Genomic DNA, 18,360 nt, shown 5'->3' with positions numbered 1-18,360 from the left:
AGTGGAAACCCCTGATAAACCCATCAGATCTCCTGAGACTTATTCACTATCATGAGAATAGCATGGGAAAGATGGGCCCCCATGATTCAATTATCTCCCCCTGGGTCCCTCCTACAACACGTGGGAATTCTGAGAGATATAATTCAAGTTGAGATTTTGGCAGGGACACAGCCAAAGCATATCATTCCACCCCTGGCCCCTCCAAATCTCATGTCCTCACATTTCAAAACCAATCATGCCTTCCCAACAGTCCCCCAAAGTCTTAACTCATTTCAGCATTAACCCAAAAGTCCACAGTCTAAAGTCTCATCTGAGACAAGGCAAGTCCCTTCCACCTATGAGCCTGTAAAATCAAAAGCAAGGTAGTTACTTCCTAGGTACAACAGGGGTACAGGTATTGGGTAAATACAGCCATTCCAAGTGGGAGAAATTGGCCAAAACAAAGAGGTTACAGGCCCCATGTATGTCCAAAATCCAGTAGGGCAGTCAGATTTTAAAGCTCCAAAATGATCTCCTTTGGCTCCAGATCTCACATCCAGGTCACGCTGATGCAAAAGGTAGGTTCCCGTTGTCTTGGGCAGATCTTCCCCTGTGGCTTTGCAGGGTACACCTTCCCTCCCAGCTGCTTTCACAGACTGGCATTGAGTGTCTGTGGCTTTTCCAGGCTCACGGTGCAAGCTGTCAGTGGATGTACCATTCTGGGGTCTGGAGGACAGTGTCCCTCTTCTACAGCTCCATGAGGCAGTGCCCCAGTAGGCTCTGTGTGGGGGTGCCACCCCACATTTCCCTTCTTCACTGCCCTAGCAGAGGCTCTCCATGAGGGCCCCACCCCTGCAGCAAACTTTTGCCTGGGCATCCAGGCATTTCCATACATCCTCTGAAATCTAGGCAGAGGTTCCCAAAGCTCAGTTCTTCACTTCTGTGCACCCACAGGCTCAACACCATGGGTAAGCTGTCAAGGCTTGGGGGTTCCACTCTCTGAAGCCACAGCCCAAGCTCTATGTTGCCCCTTTTAGCCATGGCTGCAGCAGCTGGGTCACAAGGGAACCAAGTCCCTAGGCTGCACACAGCACAGAGAACCTGGGTCCAGGCTACAAAACCACTTTTTCCTCCTGGCCTCCAGGCCTGTGATGAGAAGGGCTGCCGGGAAGGTCTCTGACATGGCCTGGAGACATTTCCCCATGGCGGTAGGGATAAACATTAGGCTCCTTGCTACTTATGCCAATTTCTGCAGCCAACTTGAATTTCTCCTCAAAAATAGGATTTTTTTTTCTACTGCATCATCAGGTTGCAAATTTTCTGAACTTTTATGCTCTGTTTACCTTTTAAAATGGAATGCTTTTAATAGCACCCAAGTCACCTTTTGAATGCTTTGCTGCTTAAAACTTTCTTCTATCAGATACTCTAAATAATTCCTCTCAAGTTCAAAGTTCCACAAATCTCTAGGGCAGGGCAAAGTGTCGCCAGTCTCTTTTTTAAAACACAATGAGTCATCTTTGCTCCAGTTCCCGACAAGTTCCTCGTCTTCATCTGAGACCATCTCAGCCTGGACTTTATTGTTCATATCACTATCAGCACTTTTGTCAAAGCCATTCAACAAGTCTCTAGGAGGTTCCAAACTTCCCCACATTTTCCTGTCTTCTTCTGAGTCCTCCAAACTGTTCCAACCTTTACCTGTTACCCAGTTCCAAAGCTGTCTCCACATTTTTGGGTATCTTTTCAGCAACTCCCCACTCGACTGGTCCCAATTTACTGTATTCATTCGTTTTCCTGCTGCTGATAAAGACATACCTGAGACTGGGAAGAAAAAGATGTTTAATTGGACTTACAGTTCCACGTGGCTGGGGAGGCCTCAGAATCATGGCGGGAGGTAAAAGGCACTTCTTATATGGTGGCAGCAAGAGAAAATGAAGAAGAAGCAAAAGTGAAAACCCCTGATAAACCCATCAGATCTCATGAGACTTATTCACTATCATGAGAATAGCATGGAAAGACTGGCCCCCATGATTCAATTTTCTCCCCCTGGGTCCCTCCTACAACACATGGGAATTCTGAGAAATGCAATTCAAGTTGAGATTTTGGTGGGGACACAGCCAAACCATATCACCAAGCAAGGCCAATTGACTTTCTCCAGAAAAGAGAATCCCTGAGTAAAGTGACATGAGGAACCACTAGCTAATGAATAGTTTATGAATGTCTCCAACGTAGGTTTCTAATTTCCTGTCCCATATGCAGCCAGATTCTTTAGCTTTTTATTTGATTCTGTGAGATATCCTGTAGTCTTCTAATATGTATGTGTGTATGGTACAAATATGTGTATGTGTGTTTTAATTTTCTTTTTTAAAATTAGCTAAAGTTGGTTTCTTTTGCTTGGAATAAAAAAGAATTTATCTAAAATGAGAGTCCCAACATATTTCACTGCCTATGCAAATCTATGCCTAGCTCTGAACCAGAGTTCTCCTCCTCACTAAATATTTTCAACTTAGGGGTAAATGGTCCCTCCTTCTTAAACAGGAAGTGTGTAATGCTGAACTTTATAAAAGCATTGGTGCTTTTTTTTCCTTCCTTTTTCTATGAATGCAAGCTTCTTACCACTTCCTAACCAGCAGCAGCCTCAGAGGAGTCCCCCACCACAGACAGAAGAGGGAGCAAGGTCCTCCCCATCACCTGAGTCTCACATGGTTCTAGGACCCCATGGTTCTTGAGCTGGAAACCAGACCCCAGTATCGACCTCTCAGAGACTGACAACCCCTGACAGAGGTGCCTCAGACTCCATGATAGAAATATTGGATGTCAAAAGCAATGCTCTCAACAGCACAAGGTTCTGTCAAAGACAGTGCAATGAGAGCCAGCTTCCCCCACCCCTAATAAAACAGGGCCTCCTCAATCCCAGTCACACACAGAGACAGCCTCAACATACATGCCAAAAGGATGGACAATGATACTCGATCACCACCACTGCCATTGCTGCTGTTACTTTGTATGAGATGAGCAGAGCACTCCAGTCTGAATGTTTGGGTGCCCCCACATTCATATGTTGAAAGCTAATTACCAAGGTGATAGGTAGGAGCTAATTACCAAGGAAAGGAGAGGAGGTGATGGTTAGGAGGTGGGGCCTTTTGGGAGGTAATTAGGTCACGAAGGTGGAGCCCTTATGAATAAATTAGTGCCCTTGTAAGAGGCCTTGAGAATTGCCTTGCCCCTTCCATCCTGTGAGGACACAGTGAGAAGGTGTCATCTATGACAAACTGGACCCTCAGCAGAAAAAAAATCTACCCACACCTTGATCTTGAACTTCACAGCCTCCAGAACTGTGAGAAAGAAATTTCTGTTGCTTACAAGCCACCCAATCTATGGTGTTTTGTTATAGTAGCCCGAATGGTCTAAGACAATGGACAATATCTCATATCTACAATAGTATAAATATATTTTCAAGCATCTTTTACTTCACTTATGTATTTATATATCATAATCCAGTAAGGCAGGAAGGGCCAACAACATTAGTCCTATTTTATGGATTTGGAAAATGAAGTACATGCCAGTACTATCATGTTAGATCTTGCGTTACTACTGACAATGACGATGATAGTCATAGATGTCAAATTATCAGATCCTCTCTCCAGAAATCTTTTAATTTACTCATTATTTTTAAGAGATATAGTCTTGCTCTTTTGTCCAAGCTGCAGTGCAGTGGCACAATCATAGCTCACTACAGCCTCAAACTCCTGGGTTCAAACTCCTCCTGTCTCAGCCTCCCAAGTAGGTAGGACTACAAGCTTGCACCACCAGACCCGGTGATTTTTTTCTTTTTTGTAGAACAAAGGTCTTGCTATGTTGCCTATGCTTATCTTGAACTCCTGACCTCAAGGGATCCTCCTGCCTTGGCCTCCCAAAGTGCTGGGATTAAAGGCATGAGCCTCCTGGCCCTGAAATATCTTGAAAGCACAGCAAGAACAATAAGAGTTCATATTTATTGCACGTCTCCTATGTGCTTTGAATGTATTGAAGTAGATGCAATTGTCCTTATTTGAAAGTTAAAGAAACTGAGGTTCAGAAAGATTAAGTATATTGCCTACGACCACATCATTAGTAAGTGATTGAACCAGGATGTGAATCCATGCAGTCTGACTCCAAAGTCATGCACTAGACTAATAAGTGACACCTCTGTTAGCCCATTTTTTAAAGAAAACTCCATTAGAATATGTCAACAAGACCCTTAGATCTTGTTCTTATAACATTTATAGCACTTTTTAGTCTGAGAGTAAACATCATACCTGCTGAGGACAGAAGTGGCTCTTCACTAATATTTTCAGCTCAGAGTGAAAAGGTGGGAGAACTCAAAGAGAAGAGTGTTTAAGTCCATCCCATAGTCCTAGATGGCTTAAAGGACTTGGGTAAACACTCAGCTGTGAAACATTAACAAAGCTCCCAGCCTTGGTGGGTTGCTTCACCTGGGTATGCCAGGCCAACAGAAGTATCTGTAGTAGCCTGGAAAATATCAAGGATCTAATAAATCAACTGATGCTGAAAACAAGCTTGACTTCCTTCCGCAATGTGTATCTCTGCCATCGCAGTCTTCACAGCACGGCAGACACTAAAATGTGACAGGAAACCCAATCGTCTAGCCTAGCGAGTTATTTTCAAAGCGTTGCTAGGGTGATGGGGAGGGAAGGCACATCACAGACAGACAGAAAAATCAAAGGTTTGATAAAACTTGGTGTCATTCAAGTGATATCCACAGACATTTGAAAGGTGCTCTGCTCACATGGACAACGTGGAGGAAATTCAAGGACGATGGTCATGACAGCCTCCATCCTCTTTCAGCACCTTCTTCCCTTGGAAAGTCCTCTCTCTGACATTCACGGCCTCAACCACCATCCATCTCCAGTGCTGTTCCCCCACCCCGGAAGTGCCTCCCATATAATTCTGTCCCGCTTCACTAAATCCCTGGACTGCTTTTTTTTTTTTTTTTTTTTAATTAGAAAAGGAATTTTAAAATTCATTTTTCCCCACAGCTGTTTAGTCCTTCAAAATATTAGTTACTAAATCAAAACTGATGAAATAATTTATGATTTATATGCTATTGGGTGATAATGACTTAATAAATTAATACTGTCAGAGAACTTTTGAAATTTACCCTAACAATAACTAATGGAATTTTCTAGCTCCCTGGGAGGGTGGTACGGTGGAGATGTTTAGTGCTTCCTCTCATCCCATTCTCCTCTCTTTTTGGAAAGGGTCATGTGCCTGTGGTCTGTGTGTCACATGTAGACCAAGGCATTTAATTGCCAGTGAGTGACCCTCCAGTATGCTCCCTCTCTGCTATGACAATGGTGAAGTTTTTTTGTTGAAATGAAGGTGTTGTTAGGTTAAAGCAGCCTGCATCACTGAGCCACCATGTGGAGGCAAGTATCTTAGAGAATCATTCCAGGCTACAATGGACTTTGGATGAAACAGTAATAAAATTCCTTTATGTTAACCCACCAACATTTTTTGGTCATTTTTTATAGCAACATAATCTAGCATATTCTGACAGATAAAGCTAGTAATTTTTGATCACTTCAAATCACAATCCACAGTTTGATTCTGATAAAAGACAAAATTACTAAAAATTACTTAATTAACCAATCAAGATCTACATAACTAGATTTGTTGTGTAGATCTTAATTGGCTTTAATTTGCCATTCTAAAATTGGGCAGCATGTCAGACCAAAAATGCTCTGCCTCACCACATGTGCAGGTTGTATTTCTCTCCAGAGAAAAGGCAGTGACATACAAAAAAATGGAAGTGAGGTACAGAGGCAGACTGATTGGTTACAGCTTGTGTCTGTCTTATTTGAACCTAGTTTGAACAGTTGGCAGCCATGATTGGCTAAAGCTCAGCTGCTGTAATTGGCTGAGAACAGTTTGGCAGCTGTGATTGGCTGAAGTTCAGCTGCTGTAACTGGCTGAGACTCAGCTATATGTTACAAAGGCAAATTCCTAAATTAGGTTTTCAATTTGTTTACATACTAAATTAGGTTGTAGTTCATTACGTAAGACTTGGAGAAGGCTTCTTAAGCCCAAATTTAGTTTAACAGTTCCTGTCTACTGTTAGGAGAAACGTGCTCTGCTTATTAGCTGTGTGGCTTTGGACGAGTTATTATACTCCCCAGAATGAGTCTATGTCTTCCTCTGTAGGTAGCTGGTCCTTTTCAGCTATAAGATTCCACTTAACTGGCAATCCAAAATTACATGGTATCTGCTCCCTAAAAATAACTATTGTATGCAAAGACCAAGCAATTTGTCCCCAAACAAGCAGAGATGTTTAACCCAAGCCAAATACTTTTTACCTGTCATCTCTCTGAACAGGAGGGTCAGGATCCCAGGTTGCCAGTAAAAAAAGCACATGTTTTAAAAGGTCTGAGATTGAACTAAGAGGCCACACGACATCTCATTATCCTCTAGAATTGGTCATTCTGCGCCTCTGAGTTATCAAGATTTATCAAATTAGAGCTGTTCAATTTGGGAATCAGGTAGCCTTTCTCAAAGTTTGTTTTTTGTCTTTGGGGAAAGTATCCGTTAATGTATGAAGACAAGAGGGTCACATGTGAAACAATGGTTCACAGCCCTTTTAACATATCTCTTCAAAGCAAAAGCTTTTCTTGGATGTATGTGTGGTGTGTGTGTGTGTGTGTGTGCGCTTGCCTGTGCACACGTGTGTCTGGTACTATTAGCACCCACTGATCTAAAAATGCAGTATTAGAAAAACTATTTTAGTGAATTGTTATTTATATATTTGAAAAATAGCACACATATTATTCAATATATTTAGACATATTATGTATTCAGGCTACAGGCAATGTTGGGCATGTGTGTATATTTGCAGATCTCTTGCAGTAACTCTGAGACTTCCCAGAGGCTATTCATAGCCACAGGCTGGGAATAGTATACTTCAGGAGTCTAGGAGCATACTGCAACCTATATTTGGTTGTCACTTCCTTTCCCTCATCCCCAGCCTCTTGTTCTCAGGGAAGCAGACGCTAAGGCAGAATTACGAGTGCATAAGGCTTTGGGGGGAGTAGCAATTATGAAAGGAATTGGGAGGAAATAGGATTGGGCATGGGAGAGCCATGCGATCATGATACAGTCTTTATTAGACTAACCTGCCTAATTACCTTTTGGAGCCAAGTTCCCACCGGACAGAAATAGTCAAGCCCTCCCTTCATGTCCCTGCTCAGTCATGGGGCCATTCTGAACAGAGTATGAGATGGGCTCAAAAATTGCTAATAGGTACACTGTCTGCTGACTACCCTCTTAGTAGCTGCACAGTGAGACCTTTCTTGAAGAGAAGTGATATATCTCCATCTGCCATACCCAACATTTCCCCCTAATGCTATAAGGTAATTTTGCCCCTTAAGGTTATTCATGAAGACAACATAACTTTACAAATGATAGTGTAATGTGCTTTTGGGAAACAGGCCATCTCTAAACCAGCAAAATAAGAAATAAAATCATAGCCAAACATGAGCCTAATTGCATTGGCCAGTGGGCAAAGTGCTCCTAGGATATGGGATTGCATTTAGTTTAAGCAGACTCTCCTTCTGCAGAGGGAGCTATCTGAAATCAGAAATAAGATCAGAAAAATGTTTGCTGCAGGGATCTGGTTATACTGTGCAATGCACATGGTCATGAGTATTGACTGTTCACTGCAGGGAAGTAAACTGTGCAAGAAAAATGAAGCAATAAGGGAAAACAGGAAATGGCATGGGGAAAACAGGTTCTTTTAGGAAGAGGAATCCATTCCAAGTGTCAGACCCAAGCAGCTACAATCCTTTCTCTTAGCCTGGGCTGCGACGGTGAACAGGTGTTTAGCATGTGCCATGAAGAACAGCTAGAATGAATACAGCTAGTGAGAAATTCTATAAGATTTAATTGAAGAAAGGGGAGGGGGGATGTGTTGTTAGTCCAATTTCAATCACTGAACCAGCCACTCTCCAAGGATGCATCTTTCAGTAGTTTCCACAGTGGTTTCCAAACAGGAGTTTACACTGACCACAGACAGCAGAGGAGACAGCAAATGAAAGGGGAACCCTGGAGGACTGGACCATCCGAACCCTGCCTCTAGCCCTCCTGCAAAAGAGTAGCCCATCTTGATCTGTTTTACATGGTAAGATTTTGTGTAAGGTTACATCAAATAAAAGGTTAACAGAAATAAATGAGCCTGATAACTACAGTTTCCTAGTCTCACCTAAACCTGCTGGAATAGAATCTCTTATGAATTTGTATTTCTAAAAAAGCTTCTTAGCTTTTTTAGAAAAGCTGATAGAAGAATGGCTAGACAGATGACATATGGCAGATGTGATAGAGAGGTGGGGGACAGAGAGAGAGACAGAGAAGGCATGAGTAGATAGATAATATTCATTTACCAATATACTAATAAACATATACACAACATATACACAAAATAGATACACAACATATACACAAAAATAGAAAATGTAAAAGGATAGCTTAAAAAATAAATATAATAGAAGCTCTAGTATTTTCTCTTGTGTCCAAGGGATCATCTTGATTTTCCCTAATGTAGGCACAGCTTACATTAGAGGATTCTCACGGTATTGAATGTGATAGAAATAATACATGGAAATAAGGGAATGACCTACCATGACTTGCAGATGTAAATCCATCTCACTGATTTTTAGTGGCTTCTGAGCCACTGAGATAGTGGCACTCCCCATCCTAGCCTATTTCTTCTTCTGTGCTAGGGGTAGAGGAAGCGGGTAGAAAGGATAGCAATTGTAGTTGATTACTACAAGCTGAGAAGAGGGTACTTGTTTTTCTTTTCCCAACAAGATGATTCTTTCTCCCACTTCCCTTTAAGCACACATAAAATCTAACATAAGCACAGTTGAAATTCCAACGATGAGCTCCGTTTAATTCCCAATGTTTGGAATAATGAGTGGAATAGCAGATGCTTTAGTTGGTGAAATGCCCTATAGCTCAACTCTGAATGTCAATCATGGAAACAAGTCACTTATATGTGGGAGAATAACTAGTGAAGGACCAGTTTGAGGGGCATTCACACTGAGCAAGGTGAGCGGATATCAACCAAGGAGATTTCAAGGCTTGAGCAAGTAAAAGCAAAGATCGCCAACACCCTGTGGCATTTGAAGGCATGAGACAGACACCAGATGTGTTTGTGTCGCTCCTGTGACTCAGCTTCTATTTCAGCTACTGATAAATAAAGGACCATTTCCAGGTATGCTATGTTTGGTTAAGCCCTAAACTTGGACATAAGTATAGCCCTAAGGTTACCGAAACTACATTGCTTTAAACCACAATTATTTCACGTGTTGAGCTGAAAAGAAATTAAAATTAGAAGCATGAAAAAAATGAAATGAATGTCTCTGGGTTCCCTATGCAATCTTCAAATCTCCCTTCACTATCGACACGGCACTGAGTTCTGCTTCCGCTTTGATGGCTCCTTCTGCCTCAGAGACCCGCTTTCGGTACTATGTGTTTTCCCCAATGTGTTTTCCCACTTTTCATTCATTCACATTCTCTCTCTCTCCCACTGCTTTCCTCCAAATACCCATATGCCAATCTGTCTTTCCAACTCCACCCCCAGATACATGTACAGACTTTGCCCCAAAGACTCCCCAGTGAGCAATATCTTTTTCTGGGGATGGTAAGCACTGACTCATTGCCTCCTTCTTACCACAGTTTCCAAAACACAGTCTTATTTCACTCTTGTCTCTATGCAGATCTCGGTAGGTCGGGGCCACGATGTACATAAACAGACTCTTGATGGGTGATTCCCTCCTCATCTTTCGATCTCTCACTCTCTAGCCCTCTTCTGTTTTTATTTTTTTATTATTTTTAATTTTTGAGAGTACATAAAAGATGTATATATTTATGGGGTACATGAGATATTTTGATGCAGGAATGCAATGTGAAATAAGCACATCATGAAAAATGGGGTTTCCATCCCCTCAAGCATTTATCCACTGAATTGCAAACAACCCAATTACACTCTTTAAGTTATTTTAAAATGTACAGTTATCATTAAGTGCAGTCGCCTTTTGTACTATCAAATAGAAAATCTTATTCATTCTGTTTTTTGGTACCCATAATCCTCTTCTGATGCTTATCCTCCAAAAAATTCTGAAGAAAGCAGAGTTTAAGGAACTAGAATCCTTAGAATTTGTTTTTTTTTTTTCTGCATCTGAAAATTTTGGTCAACAAAGGAAAACATACTTCTGCTACTAAAATACAGACTCCAAGACTCCTAGAGAAATGGCATTGACAAAAACAGACAATAGTGCAGTCAATTCCATCTTACCTTCACCTGGGCAGGGAAAATATAACCTAAGGAGGAGCCAGGACTTTTCTAGGAATCAAGTAACTGGCATGGTTCTCCCAGGCTCAGTGAGAAGCAGCAAGAGATTTAAATGTGGGTAGCTGAAAAGGAGCTAGGTAATTCATGTCCTTGAATAGGCAGCATGTGAAGGTTTTCAAAATTTTATGTTAAGTGTAAACATATTTATTCCTCTATCAGGTCCATGCCAAGCAGTACCTTTAGGATATGGTGGGGTAAGAGTTACTCATTTGAGGATGACGTTACAAATGAGATAGGTGATATTCAGCAAAATCAATCAGATTATCGTCTTTGGTTGTTTTCATTGGGTCTTCCTACCTGCAGACACTCTCTTTTCTCTGATTAATTCTTTTAATCTTTCCCCATCTGCAAAATCATTCTTGGTGACTCAGAATTAGCTTGGGATGCTCCCCCATATCCTGCCTCTTTGAACAAGACTGAGCCAGTTCCCTGTCAATTTCCAGCACTGACCCCAGAACACTCTCAGGTTTTATCTCTACCAAGATGTGCATGGCTCTGTGACTCGGGAAGCATTATGGCAACCTTTGCCTTTAAAACTTCACAAAGCTGTTGATGGTTCTGCAGCAGCCTTCCTGAAGGAATTTATTGAGGATTTTTTTGGCCCGCCACACCTTCATTTTCCAGAAGAGGAAATTCCTTCTTGTTTTCCAGAACTTCCCTATGTCTTGGTTTAGATTTTAGAAAAAAATGTTGTCTATAGCATTTAGCAAAGGATTCTCATCTAAGAGAATTGTAACGCCACTGAAATAAAACAAAATGAACAACAAAATAGGGTATATGGGACAGTCCCCTGTGAGCAAAGTAGAGACATTTCAACTGAAATGATGCTGATGGGGCTATGGCTAGGACGGGGCCCCTGGTGGCAGTTTGCTTATTGAGTTACCAGGTCTCAAAGAAGGACTTGCATTCCATGTGGCCTCCACATGGCTTCCAGATAGTGCACTGCAGATCAACTAAGGTTCTTTATCAACGTGTTCCATCATATTTGGGAACTAGCTTCTGACTCTGGGTAGTTTCCCAGCAGTACAGAAGCCTGTTTCAGGGTTGACCCATAAATACTACATAAGCCCAGTGCTAGACAGTCCTTCTGATCCAAGGAACCAGAGACAAATCAATCCCTTTTCTGATGCCTTTTTTCCAGAACCTTTGAAGGATGCAGACCTTAAGGAATCAGGACTTCCAGGATCCAATTTTCTTGTGCATCTCAAGACATTTATCAGATAAAGAAGGAGCATTTTTTGCTGTTCAGTGAGATTCCAGGGCACTTAGTCAAATAGCACCATAAAAACAAAAGGTATTATGTACCATTATTTCCAACTTACGTTCACTACACGGGCAGGAAACTCAAAGACAAGACAAACTTTCTCTGAAGAAAGATTTTATTCATCACTCAATTAATATGATTTGTATAGTCCTGTAGACCTGACAATAAACAGTCACCAATGCCCACAATTCCTCCTATCTCCTTGAAGAGCATTGGTCATACAAGCACCTCTCCAACCTTTTTTTTTTTCCCTAAAACCAGTTACTTACGTACACCATTGAGACTTTCTAGGGTTCCATTTAGAAGAGTCCTGAGAAGGAGTAATTCATCTCACCCACATGGTATGATCTAGATTCTTTAAACACAAGCAACAGAAATCAACTCTAGATTAACTGAAGCAGGAAATAAATCTATTGGAAGAATTCAGAGAAGTTCACAGAATAGACAGGAAGGCAGGAGAGCGAGGCTTGGAAAAATGCAAGAGCTGAGCTGCTCTAGGGAGTTAGGGAATAGCAAACACGATCAAGATCGTGTGTTAAGAAGAACATGTCTAAAACATGTTGAGGATGCTGCCAGTGCCACAGCCATTATCTCCTGCTGCTGTCACCACCATTACTGATGTGCCACTATTGCTGCAATGATCCTATTTCCATGTATACCTGCAGCCTTGTGTCACATTGAAAAGATTCCAAGTCCTACATATCCAAGTATCTGATTGGCTAAGCACAGGTCACTAACCAACACTGCCAGAATTCAGGAGAAGAGACAAGTTTCCTCTTCCCAACTTCTATACCAGGAAATAGGGCACTGGGTTTTACCAACACAAAACACAATAGGGTAGGAAAATCTCCCCACATAGAAGGAGTAGAATGGTGGACAGCCAAAAATAGAAAGGGGAGGGAACATCCATCACATATTTCAGTTTTGTCCAAAAAAGTCAAACCTGTAGTTCATTCCTTAGACAACTGTATCCAAATCCTATTCCTTTTTGCTCAAAGGATCCAGTTTTGATCTGTAGAGTCTATCCTTCTCACATGATTTGGTTTTCTTTGGCAAATTCTGTCACATTAAATACATTGTTTGTGGTCACATCTATTTATTCCCTGATAAATAGGAATATGTGTCTATTTCTTCCAAGAAAGATTTGAGGTGGCTCACAAATTTTAATATTCTGAAAAATGAAAACAGATTGTAGCAATGGGAAATGCCCTTGTACTCTGTGTGATGGCTGCTTCTCAGTGTTTCTAGGATAGAGGAGCCCAACAAAGAGGATGGAAGTTGCCTGGGCTTTTGTATTCTCTTGGTGGTCAAAGGGGCGTGCTGTGCTGATGGGTAAGCCTTTAGGCAATGAGCTGTTGGGTTGGTTGGGTCTACAGATATTGGGAATAGCCAATGTGTGTTCAGGAGAAGCAAGAACTATGCTAGTAAAGGGGTCTACAGTCAAGCTAGGGGTTGGCAAGATGACTAAGGGGGAACCACAAATGGACAGGCTGGAGGAGGAACCCAAGCAGGCTGGCTGGTGGTTGATAAGTCATGGCTGAAACCAAAGAAACTAAAGGGTGAACTGAGGTCAGAGGACAAGGCTGGGATTTCACCTAGAATATACGACTTTTGCTGACAATCGCTTCTGCCAAGTGCTGCCTCTTAGAAAGGCAGCTGGAAGTCATCCTTCCAAGGCTTGACAGAACCCAGAACACCCAGAATGGCAGCTGTGAATCTTCCCTACGTATTCCTCTTTAACCAGAAAAAAACAATCAAATGCTGTTTTGAAATGGACCTTCCAGACATGGAAGTGTGATCAAAAGAGACCTGGCTTTTGTCTGAATCCAGTTTTCTTTTCTTTCTTTTTTTTCCTGTCTTTTTTTATTTCAGACATCAGTGTTACTTGTCAATAAATCCAGCTTTTCTATCAACTAGTTGTGTGACACTGGGCAAGTCAGATTTCTCACGGCCTCAATTTCCTTCTATAAAATGAGAAGGTTGGGCTAAATATTGCCTAAAGACTCTTTGAGCTTTAGAAATGACTAGACCACTTCTAGTTGCACACGTGTTCATGCACATACGCATGCAGACACAAACACATCAGGGTGATTCTAGAATTATCTCCAGGGAGAAAGTCACAGAACATGATTCTTGCTGTGCATCTCCTTTTCCCCTGAAGCTGGTTCTGGGAGACAGGAACTTCCTCAAAAACCACAGCTGTTGAAATGGCCCCAAGGGAGTTATACTTAATTCCTGTTTCCTCACATCCTGAATGTGAAGCCTAGAAGAACTGATAATGGGGTTAGTTCCGCCATATTGCAACCACCAACTGAAAGGGGGAAAACCATGCTACCCAGTGACTTACTCAGTAGTGGATAACTGTAGCCAGAAATAACAAGTCTGGCCAGTTCATAGCTCAAGAATGCATAGTGGCAGCCCAACAAGGATTTCCCTTTTTCCAAGACAAACCATGTCAGCTCTGATTAAACTCCTGATTATGGCTAAATCCCTCTCCTTTACTCATATTATTCTTCCCAAGATTGCGTTCCATCATCAGGTGTTGATTTGGGAAATCTTTGAAATTATTCAACCACTCTAAGTGACATGCAATTAGCAGCCTCTTCAATGAGTGATTTACTGCCTTTATGCACCAGGCACTGTGCAAATTGTCAGAGACCCCACAGTGAACAAGCCCTGTGGGACTTACAGTCTAATATGGTAGATGGAAAACATGCAAATGGGCACAAATGCATATATAAATACAATGAAGAGTATGAAAAAGGAAACCGGGTACTGGGTATGATGGAGAATAATGGGGTGAGGGCAGGTGGGAACTTACTTGCATTGGGTGATCCGAGAAAGTCTCTCCATGAAGGTGATGTTAAAGCTGAGATCTGAAGAATGATAAGGAGCCAGTTTTGTGACATGCAGGATGGGGTAGAAGTAGTATGTAGAATGTGTGTGTGTGTGTGTGTGTGTGTGTGCACGCACTCATGCACGCACACATGCACATTGAGGAGAAGGAGAAGAGACAGATTTTCTGCCACAGGGAAGAACAAGTTGGTAGAAAGCTCAACTGACTCCAGAGCTGAAAGAACTCCCATATGGGTTAAGCAAAAAGGAAGATACTATAAGATGAGACTGAGTTTGGCAGAGGCCAGATCACACAAAGCCTTTGTAAAAATCGGTATTTTCCCTACATTTTTAATAAATCTGATAGGAAAGTATTAAGGCATTTTAGATAGATAGAGGAATAACATAATCTTATTTCCATTTGCTGCTTGCTTTGTGGACAATTAAAAAAAAGAAATAAAAGTGGAAGCAAGAGGACAGGTAAGAGATTAGTGTAGTTCAGGCAAAAGTTAATGACGTCTCAGACTAGGTTAGTTATTCTCAGTTCCTAGGGGACACTTGGCAATGTCTGGAGATGTTTTGATGATCACAGATGCTACCAACATCAGCTAGGTAGAGGCCAGGGATACTGCTAAATATCCTAAAATACACACACCAAATAACTATCCAGCCCAAAGTGTCAACAGTGCCAAGGTCAAAAAACTCTGGACTCAGCGATGGCAGGAGAAATGGAAAGAAGCAATTGAATTCAAGATACACTGCGAGGCTGAAAGGACCAGGAATTCTGAATAGATTACATGCGAAAGTAAAGGAAACAAAGAACCTGAAGATGGCTTTCAGATTTCTGTCTAAAGTAACATCTCATAAGATTATATTGGAAGGATATATAAAACAATTTCTGTCTAGTAGATAGATTTTAGTTCTCAATCTACTGCTTATCAATTGTAGGTTGCAAGATACAAAACTATGTATTTATACCTCCATTTTCCCATCTATAAAATGGGGATGACAATGAATCTACTTCAAAGTATGTGATAAGTATCTATTATCCAATCACGTAAAGTGCTTCAAATAGGCCTGGAATGTAGCATATCACTTACTTTTGTTGTTCTTTACTATTGTTATTATTAGAGTGAGGATGTCATTACAGCTATCAAGGTTGGATACATGAATTTGAGAGTGGTCAGATGGCATTTAAATCTTTGAGATGAGTGTATAGACAGAGGAGACAAATTGTCCGGCACTGAACCTTGGGTACTCTACTGTTAGGATACTGAGGTAATGAGAAGAAACAGCCTAGGGGACTGAGCAGGATTAGACAGTTAGGTGAGAGAAAAGTCAACAGAAGAAAGCATTTTGAGGAAGGTTGAGTAAGAAGAGTATCTCTTGAATTTCCAGGTCCTGGGTAACTCCAACAAAAGCAATTTCAGTTAAGAAGTGGAGATGGAAGTCAGTCTGAAATGAGTTGAGGATTAAATGGGAGAAAACATGGAAACAGAATATGTGGGAGCTTTTTATGAATTTTGGCTAAGAAGAGTAGAACAGGTGGAGGACTGTTCAGTTAATAAGGGATGAAACTTTTTGTTTTGCTTTTTAGAGAAATACCATTACATAATATTTACATTCTGATGAGAATATTGTAGTAGAAAGGAAACATTTATAGCTATCAGAGGGAAAGAAGGCGGTAAGACATCAAAGTCTTTGAGAGGACAGGAGGAGATAAGAGAGGCTAGCCTCTGGTGGGAAGAGGAGCACTTTGTGCTTTGCAACAGGAGGCAAGTAGCAGATCAGTGCCACATAGAGAGGTTTGTTGTTTTTGTATTAGGGAAATGGAGGTGATACATGTCTGGCCACTTTTATTTTCTTAGTGAGGTTTGGGGAAAAGTGCCCCCAGAGGTAAGTGGAAGAAAGCAGGATGTGTTTTGGGTACAAATAGTCACCTTGAAACTGGAAAGGCTAGATTTCTAGAGAAAAATGGTAGGATTGTTAGACATCTTTTGAGACTGATGATCATGAATGCTATGTGAAACCAATGAACTTCATTCTTTGGTTTTCTCTTGCAATGTCCAATTGTTCAGAAGGTAGAGAAGAAATAATTCTCCTCTCATTCTCTTTGACAATGGAATTTGGCCTTGAGAGGAAGACAGATGTTTAAGTCCTCAGAGAATGAGGTGTGACCAGCAGACTGAGGATTGAGGGCAGAAAGGAAAGAGGGTACCGGTAGCAAGGAAGTATACATTCTGAAGGGGCAGGAGGGACGCGGAATGAGATCTGGCACCTCCTCCACTTCCTGAACCTGAAGTATGTGAGGTGTGAGCAAATAAAGAGCCTCTAATCATGAGACTTGGAAGTCAAGTGGCGGACCCAGGCGCTGCCAGGTCCTCATTAGGGCAATGAGATGGAGTTCAGAGAAGAGGTCATGCCATCTTCAATCCCCATTGGTGCAAGGCAAAGTCTGTTCCACTATACAAGGTCAAGCCTGCGTGGTTAGAGCTTCTCTTATTCCCACTCCTCCATTCCCTAATTTTAGTGCAGGGGGAGGATTTTCAAAAATTTTCAGACTAAAAACAACGATTGAGCAAGCTAATTAAGTGGTATGAGTGGTTTCAACAAAACCCCACACTTAGCGGCCAACATGGATTAAGGTGGAGGCTGCTTTTAGGTAATCCACATTGTTTTTCAAGCATCCCCTCCAGCAGTCAGGCTCAAAACACATGTTAAAGTTTTGTTTTAAGTACTCTTGGTTCAAAACACCTTTATAGACATTATCAGAAAAAGAGAAGTTGTCCAACTAACCCCAAGTTTGCTATGCCCTTTTAAATCTGATCCTCATCCTTACATATCGCAGATACTCCAAAGCTTTTCATAGCAAGTGTCCAAGACCAGGGATAGCACTGTCATAATAGTTAACATATGTTGAGTGACGACTGTGTCCCAGGCATTGTTCTAGGCAACGTTCCTATATAATTCTATTTAATGTTCAGAAAACCTTTATGAGTTTTTACCCATTTTTCAAGCTGGGAAAATGAGACAATGAAGAGTCAAGTGACTTGTCCAATGTCACCAGCTATAAGGGGCAGCGATAAGACCATCTGCAGTTTGCACTTGTAAGCATTTGGCTATACTGCTGTAGACTGCAAATATGCAGCACTCATACATTTACTCTCCTTTCCTCATCCAGAGCAGACACCACTGGCCATTTACACAACAATCCTACCAAGCTTAATCACTAATCCATTGATCTGTGAATTCCTACAAGTTGATGAGTGTGAGCACTAGAATGGAAATCTCTTTGCAGTTCCCTAGACCCTCCTTCTTTGCTTTCTGTTCTGCCTCAAACCTTGTCTCTGCTCTACTCCAAAGACTGATTCTACTCTCACTCTGGGCCTCCACACTTGATGTCCTGGTCTCTTCCCAAGTTTGACTCAGGCTAAGATTTAGCCCCAGGCCCCTCTTGCCCTTTTCCTGGTTCACTCGTCATCACATGCCTATCATGAGCTGGCTCTGTGATTCAGTCAGTGTTGATTTGTATCTGAGATGCAGAGATAATGTAGTAGCAATAGGCAGGACAGAAAAGCAAGCCTCCATAACAAACTCATTTGAAGAATCCTAAGCTTTGCACCATCAATACAAATTTCTGTGTGAAAACCATAAAGACAGAACTAACTTTACATGTTGAATCCATCGAGTCAAGTAAACTTTTAAAAGAAAATTTTAAAAAGAAAGAAAAAGAACTTTAGATGTGGTGTCAAATTCAAAAGATCTTATAGTTGGAGATATACCACTGAATGATTCTGTCAACGTCCTTTAAAATGGCAAAAAAAAAAAAAAAAGCCACCTCAATTTTAATCAACTGAATCATGAACACAAGGAAATTTTT

General features: G+C 41.4%; 1 long non-coding RNA gene across 3 annotated transcripts in view, besides 2 other annotated features; it reads left to right on the top strand.

Annotated features, from left to right (window-relative positions):
• The window catches only part of LOC105376626 (uncharacterized), a 59,489-nt gene that overhangs the window by 17,160 nt on the left and 23,969 nt on the right, over positions 1–18,360 (top strand). The gene's annotated exons all lie outside the window — the stretch shown is intronic.
• Positions 9,435–9,634: an enhancer, noted in NCBI's record as "active region_4612". NCBI's record gives its function as "activates an Ori minimal core promoter by ATAC-STARR-seq in GM12878 lymphoblastoid cells {active_cell/tissue: GM12878}" and the evidence as "EXISTENCE:reporter gene assay evidence [ECO:0000049][PMID:35858748]".
• Positions 13,554–13,623: an enhancer, noted in NCBI's record as "active region_4611". NCBI's record gives its function as "activates an Ori minimal core promoter by ATAC-STARR-seq in GM12878 lymphoblastoid cells {active_cell/tissue: GM12878}" and the evidence as "EXISTENCE:reporter gene assay evidence [ECO:0000049][PMID:35858748]".

This window comes from Homo sapiens, chromosome 11, assembly GCF_000001405.40.
Source record: "Homo sapiens chromosome 11, GRCh38.p14 Primary Assembly".
Classification (NCBI taxonomy): domain Eukaryota; kingdom Metazoa; phylum Chordata; class Mammalia; order Primates; family Hominidae; genus Homo; species Homo sapiens.
Note: the sequence above shows the minus strand (reverse complement) of the source record. Positions and strands in the feature narration are given on the sequence as shown.